This window comes from Homo sapiens, chromosome 12 (genome assembly GCF_000001405.40).
Source record: "Homo sapiens chromosome 12, GRCh38.p14 Primary Assembly".
Lineage (NCBI taxonomy): Eukaryota > Metazoa > Chordata > Mammalia > Primates > Hominidae > Homo > Homo sapiens.
Window position 1 is genome coordinate 57,743,748 of NC_000012.12, and position 9,140 is coordinate 57,752,887.

Below are 9,140 nucleotides of genomic sequence, written 5' to 3' on the forward strand. Positions count from 1 at the left end.
TGGTATTAATTTCTGTAAGAGTTTATATAAATACTGTGTAGTTAAAGATAAGGGAATTGAGGTTGGAATTGCCCACAGGAACCTGTAAAATGACCTGAAAAGTAATAACTAACATTGAGTGTTTACTATATGCCAGGTACTGTTCTAAGTATTCTACATATATTAACTCATTTAATTCTTACAACCCAAGAGGTAGGGTGTGTTGTTATTTATCCCCATTTTACAGATGAGGAAACACGCACAGACAGTTTCTAAGTGCCTGGCCAAAGGTTACGCAGCTAGGAAGTGGCAATCTGACTGTGGCAGTAAGTCTATAGAATCTAAGTACACACAAACTTAAATCATTCTGTTGAGTTGATTGGAGGGTTTTCTTTTTTGTTCCTACTGTTTCTTTCTCCTGGGGAAGAGAAGGATTATGCCTTTCCCTACCCCCGTGAGAAGGACGGTTTGTCAAAGCACTTACTAGATAATAAAGTTGTTGATCAGCCTACCCCCAAGTGAAAAGGTGGAGGCTCCTTCCACTTATATTTATGTAAATGAGACTCTTCCTCTTGCCTGCCGTTTTTTTGCAAGCCCTAGATCAGGCGTGTACTCTGAAAATGCTGAGCACACCCCTCTGTGCACTTGTGGCAATGCCACATACAGGAATGCGCTGGCCTGAGGCCGCTATTTCCACACTGAATTTCTGGTATATTCACACCCCTTTAGGAGGAGATATGGAACAGGACATGGGTACTAGAGGACACACAAACGTGTGATGATTTGCTGGGTGTTGCTGTGTCCAACCCGCGGACTCTGCGGCCGGGCTAAATAAGCTCAATATGTGGCTCCTTTGGGTGTTCCCGAGCGTGACGCAATAACAAAACAATGGCGTCATCGTGAGGTCACTGCAGAACAGGGGGAAGGGGGTGGGGAAGGGCCCTCCTTCTACGGGCGGAGCCCTTTTTGCCCAGCTCTCAGAGCGGCCCCCTACCCGCCCCTCCCGCCGTCTCCCCTTCACCTAAGTTCCTCCAGAGCCGTCTCCCTGGGAATTAGCCCTCTCCTAACTCCGACCACAGAAAGCTCAGCTTTCAACCTAAGCTTTTGGAGTTTAGGCTGTAGTCCCTAAGAGAGTCTCTAGAAACCCTGCCCCTAGTTTTAAGTTTCGCCCAATGAAAAAACAAAAGGAGAGGGACAGAAGGCGGGTCGGTGACGTAATGCGGGTTGATTGGCATGCAGGCCTTGGACGTCCAGGATTAGCCACGCATTTCGCCAATCCAGAGGCAGGGGAGGGACGGTGCAGGCGCAGAGTATTGGGTTTGGCTGGCCTCGATTTAAAGAGACAGAAGCTGTCGGGGTCCTGGAAGACGGTCCCCAATACCCTCCCCCCAAGTCCTTGGGACCACTTGGGTCCCCAGAGCTGGGGAGATGGTTTGTGGCGGCTTTGCCTGCTCCAAGAATGCGCTTTGCGCTCTCAACGTGGTCTACATGGTGAGGTTTTGGAGGTGGGGGAAGCTTCAAGGCGGAAAGGCCCCGTGGGGAGAATCTCTAGGGTACTTCCGGTGGGGAGAGGGGTGTATGGGGGTTCCGGGAAGATTCCCAGGAACTTCCGGCGACGAGGGAATTCCTGGGGACTTCCGTGGGAGAGAGGAGACTTCCGGTTGATTAAGGGGGTTTGTCTGAGGGTGGGGGAATGAACTGAAGGCCGTGGGCGTAAGTTCCATACCTCCTTCCTGTGAACCTCAGTTTCTTCCAAACTGGAAGTGATAGGATGATCCTGAGGGTTCATCTTTTGCATTCATACTACCATCCCTGCCACCCCCTCCCCGCCATCCTAGCCATTCTAACCTTTGGGAGTGCCTAGGGATGCTCCCGGTGCGGATAGCACCATCCCCAGCTCCCATTCACACACTATTCCATTATTCCTTCCCCCTGCCCCGCTCCCAAGTCCTCTTGTATGGCCTTGGGCTGTGCCGCATGCTAGAATTGTTGAGATGTATCCTGCTCTTTCTTCGTAGCTGGTGAGCTTGTTGCTCATTGGAGTGGCTGCTTGGGGCAAGGGCCTGGGTCTGGTGTCCAGCATCCACATCATCGGCGGAGTCATTGCTGTGGGAGTCTTCCTTCTCCTTATTGCAGTGGCTGGACTGGTGGGTGCTGTCAACCACCACCAAGTCCTGCTGTTCTTTGTATCCTGACCTGAAGTGATGGGGGCAACCGGGGGCTTGGGAGGGCTGTCATCTAAGGAAGATGTTAGAAGGGTAGGGGACCTCAGGGATCTTGGACACGTCTCCTTGCCCTGCCCTGTCCCATAATCTACGAAACAAGAGCTGATTTTATTGCTTTCAATTTGACATGGTGGTGTAAGTTCTATGAACAGATGAGACCAGACAGTTATTATAGATGAAACATAAAGGAATCTAGGACTTTTTTCCATAACCTTTCCTCTCAGTACATGATCATCCTTGGTTTGGTCTTCATCTTCCAATTTGTAATCTCTTGCTCATGTCTGGCTATTAACCGAAGCAAACAGGTAAGACAGTACCCTTTCAAGTACTTACTTGCTTTTTAAAATTTTCCTCTTAACCTCGAACTCCTTCCTTAGTCTGGCCCCAACTACCCAAAGATCATCCTTAGGTGCACTGCTTCTGGCCTCTTGGGCTATTTGCTTCCTCTGGGATGTCTGGTTAATTTTCCATGAGGATGATCTAGAGAACCTCAAAAGGTAGATATTTATCGTGTCTATAATTGTTGCACACCGTTATGCTTCTGTTTGACTTCCTTTGCTGGGCTAGGGAAATTGAGGCACTTGAACTGATAACAGGATGTAGGGAGACTTAATTTCCCTCTACCCATATCTTTCAGACAGATGTCATCAATGCTTCTTGGTGGGTCATGAGCAACAAGACTCGGGATGAACTGGAAAGAAGTTTTGATTGTTGTGGCTTATTCAACCTCACAACCCTGTATCAACAAGATTATGATTTCTGCACTGCAGTGAGTGTGTTGGGGGTGGTGCAGCAGCCAGGGGAGGTAGGAAACTGGGTAAGGACAATGCCCAAGTTGGCAAATTTAGTTTGAATGTCATTGTTTCTCTCTCTACAAGCCCTCTTGTATTGGGGCTGTGTTGGTGGGAGGTGGGGGTGGATAGAGGCTGGGGAATTAGCCAAGTAGGATTTTAGTTTGTAGGACACTGGTCAGATAACAGTAAAGTTTCTAGGGACATTCGGCATAGGTATTAGTCACTAGCAACTTTACATTCACAACTTTGCATTCTTCACGTTTTATCCTCAGATCTGCAAGAGCCAGAGCCCCACATGCCAGATGTGTGGAGAAAAGTTTCTTAAGCATTCAGACGAAGCCCTGAAAATCCTAGGGGGTGTTGGACTCTTCTTTAGCTTTACAGAGGTAACATTCTCCAGTTCCCTCACACACATCCTTTTTGAGACTGAGAATTAATTGATACTTATCTCTCTCCCTTTGTTCCTACAGATCCTTGGTGTTTGGCTAGCAATGAGATTTCGGAATCAGAAGGATCCTAGAGCCAACCCCAGTGCCTTTCTATGAGACTTTGGATCCTTCTGACTTTTCTTCTGCTCTCTCTAAGCTTTCTCTTCCTCCCTTAGGGAATATCTAGGGTCTGTAACCGTTTTGGTTTGAGAAAAAGGAAAGGCCCCTTGTCACATCCTCTAAAATTGATGGAATAGCAAGACTTTATGCCTTGACATATTTTAGTGGGAGCCAGACTATAAGGAATAAAAGGAAAAACTTTCTTCCTCTCTCTCCAAGAGGATATGGGAAGCTTCTGTGAGTGCATAGGATGGGGGCTGGAGTCATTCTTAGCTGTTTCCCTTCCTCTGTCCATATACTGGATCACCTCAACATACCCTGGTGTGGCTCTAAGGGTAAATCAGGGATAGGGCCAAGGAGAAAACAACCAAGAACTCTTTCCTGTAATAAGCAGGATCCAGTTTGAGAAAGTTTAGCGAATATAAAAGTAAAAGCCATTTAAAAATCTATATTCTTTTTTTTTTTTTGACACAGAGTCTTGCTCTGTTGCCCAGGCTGGAGTGCAATGGCATGATCTCGGCTCACCGCAACCTCTGCCTCCCGGGTTCAAGCGATCCTCCTGCCTCAGTCTCCCAAGTAGCTGGGATTACAGGTGTGCACCACCACGCCTGACTAATTTTGTATTTTTAGTAGAGACAGGGTTTCACCATGTTAGTCAGGCTGGTCTCGAACTCCTGACCTCAGGTGATCCACCCGCGTTGGCCTCCCAACGTGCTGGGATTATAGGCGTGAGCCACCACGCCCCGCCTAAAATCCATATTCAAAGAAGCAATTTCAGTTCCTTTCTAAGCTTTGTCAGTCAAGGGGCTCCACTGACTTCCTAGGCCCTGTAATTTAACCAGTCTTTAAGGTTTTGCAGGAAAGTCCCTTCTTCCAAGTGGTTTTTCCAAATCGCACAATGGCAAAGCCAAACAGAGGAAGAAACATTAAAAAAAAAAAAAAGACCATTATTTCTTTGTTTTGTTTTTCCTGTATAAAAAAGGACCCCAAATATAAAGGTAGGGAAAGGGACAAGAGGGAACATACCCCTTAGTGTAGAGAAATGGGAAGGAGAAGGAGAAGCCTCAAAAGGAGAGGTGGGAGGGGAATGTCATTAAGGCAGCAAAGTAATCTCTGTAGAAAGATGGAGGAGGACCCTCCATAGCCTCAGAGATAAAGGCAAAGATTGCCCTCTCAGTGTCCAGAAGGGAAATGGCAGCTTTTCTTCCTTCCATGGCAGCCACTCCATTGCTCACTCCGGATTACCTTCATCCTTATGTAGATAAGAGTGCTGCAGAGCTCGAAAGGCAGAGATTCGCTTGTGTGGGTTAAAAGTCAGCATTTCCTGAGGGGAGAGGCAAAGGTCAGAAAACCATGAAGAAAACAGACTTCTGCCCACCCACAACAATACCTGGGATGAGCTTTCTTCTTTTTTCTTTTTTTTTTTTTTTGAGACGGAGTCTCGCTCTATCACCCAGGCTGGAGTGCAATGGTATGATCTCAGCTCACTGCAACCTCCGCCTCCTGAGTTGAAGTGATTCTCCTATCTCAGCCTCCCAAGTAGCTGAGATTACAGGCGTGTGCCACCACCCCCGGCTTATTTTTGTACTTTTAGTAGAGACGAGGTTTCACCATGTTGGCCAGGCTGGTCTCGAACTCCTGACCTCAGGTGATACGCCCACCTTGGCCTCCCAAAGTGCTGGGATTACAGGCGTGAGCCACCGTGCCCAGCCAGGATGGGTTCTCTTCTATATCCTTCTCTGTGGGTGGCTATTTGCAGCTGTAATAAAAACTACAGCCCATCTACCAACCAAGTTTCATTAACCACAGTGGCCAGGGCCCTGCATACTGCTCTATTTCTTTCCCCAGTCTCTATTTCTTTCCCTGTGCCCACAGCCATCTCCAGTACCAGCAGCAGCTGTGCTCCCGACTCCTCCATCTCAGGTACCACCGACTGCACTGGGCGGGGCCCTCTGGGGGGAAAGGCTCCACGGGGCAGGGATACATCTCGAGGCCAGTCATCCTCTGGAGGCAGCCCAATCAGGCTGTGGGGGACAGGAGAACTCTGGTCAGGAGGGTCCTCCAGTTCCCATCCCCATGGGCAGAGCCAGTTGCCATCCTGGGTTCAGCAGAAAGAGGACTCAGAATAGAAAATCTTTTTCTCCCATGTTGGTCACTTACTCAAAGATTTTGCCCAACTGGTCGGCTTCAGAGTTTCCACAGAAGAGAGGCCTAAGGTGAGAAGGGATATAAGGTAGCAGTCATTTTCAAAGATATCTTAGTTGAATGGTTACTGCTTAGTGGCTCAAAATAGGAAGTATAGGGAATAAAGGCCAACAATTCCAGCACTTTGGGATGCTGAGGTGAGAGGACTGCTTGAGCCCAGGAGTTCTAGATCAGCCTGGGCAAGCAAGACCTTGTCTCTTTTTTTAAAAAAAAAGAAATGCCAGGTGCAGCGGCTCACGCCTGTAATCCTAGCACTTTGGGAGTCTGATGTGGGTGGATCATGAGGTCAAGAGATCGAGACCATCCTGGCCAACATGGTGAAACCCTGTCATTACTAAAAGTACAAAAATTAGCTGAGCATGGTGGCGTGCACCTGTGGTCCCAGCTACTTGGGAGGCTGAGTCAAGAGAATTGCTTGAATCTGGGAGGTGGAGGTTGCAGTGAGCAGAGATCGCACTACTGCACTCCAGCCTGGCGACAGAGCAAGACTCCATCTAAAAAAAAAAAAAGCCAGTCATGGTGGCGTGCACCTGTAGTCTCAGCTACTCAAGAGGCTGAGATGGGAGGATTGCTTTAGCCCAGGAGGTAGAGGCTACAGTGAGCTGTAATTGGGCCACTGCACTCCAGCCTGGGTGACAGAGTGAAACCTTATCTCAATAAATAAATAAATAAATAAATAAATAAATAAATAAATAAATAAAAAATAAAGAGAATAAAGGGATATGAAGTTCCTAATTCCAGAACATTTCAGAGCTTTCTGCTATGGGCAAGTTAGTAGTACGCAAGTAAAAGAATGGGGCCAGATGCAGTAGCTTATGCTACTTTGGGAGGTAGGGGTGGGAGGATTGCTTGAGTGCAAGAGTTCAAGACCAGCCTGGGCAATATACTGAGACCCCATCTCTATAAAAATATTAACAAACTAGCCAAGCATGGAGGTGCGTGCCTGTAGTGTCAGCTAGTTGGGAAGCTGAGATGGGAGGATCACTTGAGCCCAGGAGGTTGAAGCTGCAGTGAGCTGTGATCATGCCATTGCAATCCAGCCTGGGCAACACAGCAAGCCCTGGTCTCAAAAAAAAAGAATGGGCAAGGTATGGATGTGGTTTATGAACAAGCGATTTGGGGAATTCAAGGTAGTCCAGGGTATGTGGGTCCCATACTTTCGACGAAACATCTCTGCAAAGATACAGCCAACACTCCACATGTCCACAGGTGTTGCATATGTGGACTGCAGAAGAACTTCGGGAGCTCGGTACCAGAGTGTAACAACCTAAAGGGAATAGGAAGAATGGATGGGGACCCCATGGGTTACCATGAAACACAACTTGCTTGACTGAACACATGAAGCACATGACTTCTCAATTGCTACGGGCAATCACTCTCCTACTCCCAACCAGAACCCATTTTGGTACCATCTTTCTACTGACCACGGGTGTAAGTGCCATCTGGTAGCTGTAGATTCTGGCCAGGCCAAAGTCAGCCAGCTTGACTGTTCCACCACTTGTCACCAGAATGTTCTCTGGCTTCAGATCTCGGTGAACGATGCAATTGGCATGAAGGAAATCTAGGCCTCTTAGAAACTGGCGCATCAGATCCTAGTTTCAAAGGGGAGGTACAGATGCACTGGAAACTAGGCACCATACCTGAAATCCCAGAAGGTTCTACTACAAAGGTCCCAATCCACCTCTCAATGCCTACCAACCCCACTCACCTTGATCGTTTCGGCTGGCAAGCCTGGTGGGGGTGCCTTGTCCAGATATGTCCTTAGGTCCTGGTCTACATGCTCAAACACCAGGGTTACCTTGATCTCCCGGTCAGTTCGGGATGTGGCACAGACGTCCATCAGCCTGACCAGAGTAAATGCTCACTTTTCAATCCCCTTTAACCCAACATGGCCTCTCATTATTTCCTCAGGGTCCCCACTTCTCTACAGATCATCACACCCCACCTATAGGCTGTCTTTTCCCTTTACTCCCCACGCCCAACCCTCCACCACCTTCTCACCGGACAACATTGGGATGCTCAAAAGCCTCCAGTCGCCTCAGTAAAGCCACCTCACGAACTGTGCTGATGGGAAGGCCTCCTCCACCTCCTCCTCCATTGGGGACTCTCACACTCTTGAGGGCCACAAAGTGGCCACTGTGGGGATCACGGGCCTTGTACACTGTCCCATAGGCACCGACACCAATTTCAGCCACTGGCTCATATCGAGAGGTAGCCATTCTCAGATCAAGGGAGACCCTACAATCACAGACTCCTATCACCAAAAGTCGCTTACAGAGTTAGGATGGTATGAGCCTGCAGCAACAAAGGGACTCCCAAAAAAAAAGCGCAAAGAACACCACCAGCATCCCATCCCCCGCTCCCAGTCTTCCTTGGGGCCGGCCCCAGAGATAACACAATGACTCAATACCAACCCCTCCAGCCACGTGAGGCCCTGCAATAGAAAACGCTTTTTCCTTTGGGACAATCGCGCCCCGCACAAAGATCACACATGACACATGCCTTGCATCGAAGATCCTACACCTCAGTCCCTAAAATTATACTTTCCCATGACCACAAAGGCCCCACTTCCCGCCCTTGAGCGACCCTTCCATAACCAGCTCGCGAAACGAACGCGTGGAAAGCTGTGAGGGGGGCGGGCACTGGTTCTCATTCCTGGGAAGGGACTGCACTTACCTCACGCCAGCCCGGGGTGCTGTGGGGGCGGCCCGTTATCGGGGCCCCGGAGCCGGTTCCTACGGCCCCATACACCCGAGCTCGGTCCGGAGCAGCTGGACGCAGAGGGCCCGACCATAGACACAGGCCGCAAGCTAGAGAGGCCCCCTCACCCCCACCCTCACCATGTGACCAGCTGCCAAAGAGGCGCGCGGAAACTGGGAGGGCGGGGCGAACGCCGGACGTTCTGGGCACGTGACCGCCACCCATGCGCTGAGGGGCGGACAGGAGGTGCTTCGACTGGGAGGAGGGCGAAGAGTGTAAGGGGGCGGAGGGGCGATGGCAGCCACGTGATCTGTTGCTATCACACGTGACCGCTTGACATTGCTCTGAGGAGCAGAGGTGTGGCTACGCGGCGGGCACGTGACTGGCTGCCACAACCCCCGCTGCAGGGGGGGAGCGGTGAGGGGGACAAGAGAGGGTGGAGCCCGAGGCGGTGCCATGGCAACCTAGGCCACCCAGAGCCCAACTCCCGGCTGAAGGATTGTCTCACTACCGGTCTGAAGGCTGAACTCCAGTCTCACTACCGGTCTTTCAGCCTGTCTGCATTGGGGAGGGGGTGGGAGTTGGGGTACCAGAGGTGATGCTGTCACCTTTTCGCTCCACCATGAGAAAACATACTCTCATTTGTGTCATTGTTTCATTCATTAATTCTACAACATTTTACTGAGTGC

At 49.7% G+C, this 9,140-nt stretch overlaps 2 protein-coding genes and 1 non-coding gene across 6 annotated transcripts, besides 6 other annotated features; 1 reads left to right on the forward strand and 2 right to left on the reverse strand.

Moving 5' to 3' along the window:
- On the forward strand, positions 1,292–6,472 carry TSPAN31 (tetraspanin 31). Of its 4 annotated transcripts, none has more exons than NM_001330169.2 (6): positions 1,292–1,484; positions 1,998–2,165; positions 2,429–2,509; positions 2,842–2,973; positions 3,271–3,384; positions 3,469–6,472. In NM_001330169.2, exons 3-6 carry the CDS (start codon positions 2,432–2,434, stop codon positions 3,541–3,543), a joined length of 399 nt encoding a protein of 132 aa, NP_001317098.1. In that variant the 5' UTR covers positions 1,292–1,484; positions 1,998–2,165; positions 2,429–2,431; the 3' UTR covers positions 3,544–6,472. The 4 variants fall into 4 exon arrangements, with proteins under 4 accessions (NP_001317098.1, NP_005972.1, NP_001317097.1 ...); NM_005981.5 differs by having other exon boundaries at positions 1,292–1,470; XM_024449123.2 differs by lacking the exon at positions 1,292–1,484 and adding an exon at positions 1,676–1,692 and having other exon boundaries at positions 3,469–4,870.
- Positions 2,023–2,102: an enhancer, noted in NCBI's record as "active region_6553". NCBI's record gives its function as "activates an Ori minimal core promoter by ATAC-STARR-seq in GM12878 lymphoblastoid cells {active_cell/tissue: GM12878}" and the evidence as "EXISTENCE:reporter gene assay evidence [ECO:0000049][PMID:35858748]".
- On the reverse strand, positions 3,980–8,563 carry CDK4 (cyclin dependent kinase 4). Its single transcript, NM_000075.4, has 8 exons — positions 8,428–8,563; positions 7,753–7,989; positions 7,460–7,595; positions 7,176–7,343; positions 6,909–7,018; positions 5,707–5,757; positions 5,435–5,570; positions 3,980–4,870 (listed from the first exon to the last, which is right to left on the reverse strand). The coding sequence occupies exons 2-8, from the start codon at positions 7,968–7,970 to the stop codon at positions 4,778–4,780; spliced, it is 912 nt and encodes a 303-aa protein (NP_000066.1). The 5' UTR covers positions 7,971–7,989; positions 8,428–8,563; the 3' UTR covers positions 3,980–4,777.
- On the reverse strand, positions 4,871–4,935 carry MIR6759 (microRNA 6759). The gene has a single exon (NR_106817.1). It is a non-coding gene; the product is annotated as a microRNA 6759 (primary transcript).
- Positions 7,713–7,852: a silencer, noted in NCBI's record as "silent region_4588". NCBI's record gives its function as "represses an Ori minimal core promoter by ATAC-STARR-seq in GM12878 lymphoblastoid cells {active_cell/tissue: GM12878}" and the evidence as "EXISTENCE:reporter gene assay evidence [ECO:0000049][PMID:35858748]".
- Positions 8,189–8,922: an enhancer, noted in NCBI's record as "NANOG-H3K27ac-H3K4me1 hESC enhancer chr12:58145719-58146452 (GRCh37/hg19 assembly coordinates)". NCBI's record gives its function as "activates a minimal SCP1, AML or CMV promoter by ChIP-STARR-seq in primed H9 embryonic stem cells {active_cell/tissue: H9 hESC(primed)}" and the evidence as "EXISTENCE:reporter gene assay evidence [ECO:0000049][PMID:30033119]".
- Positions 8,189–9,012: a biological region, named in NCBI's record as "NANOG-H3K27ac-H3K4me1 hESC enhancer GRCh37_chr12:58145719-58146452".
- Positions 8,583–8,662: a silencer, noted in NCBI's record as "silent region_4589". NCBI's record gives its function as "represses an Ori minimal core promoter by ATAC-STARR-seq in GM12878 lymphoblastoid cells {active_cell/tissue: GM12878}" and the evidence as "EXISTENCE:reporter gene assay evidence [ECO:0000049][PMID:35858748]".
- Positions 8,893–9,012: a silencer, noted in NCBI's record as "silent region_4590". NCBI's record gives its function as "represses an Ori minimal core promoter by ATAC-STARR-seq in GM12878 lymphoblastoid cells {active_cell/tissue: GM12878}" and the evidence as "EXISTENCE:reporter gene assay evidence [ECO:0000049][PMID:35858748]".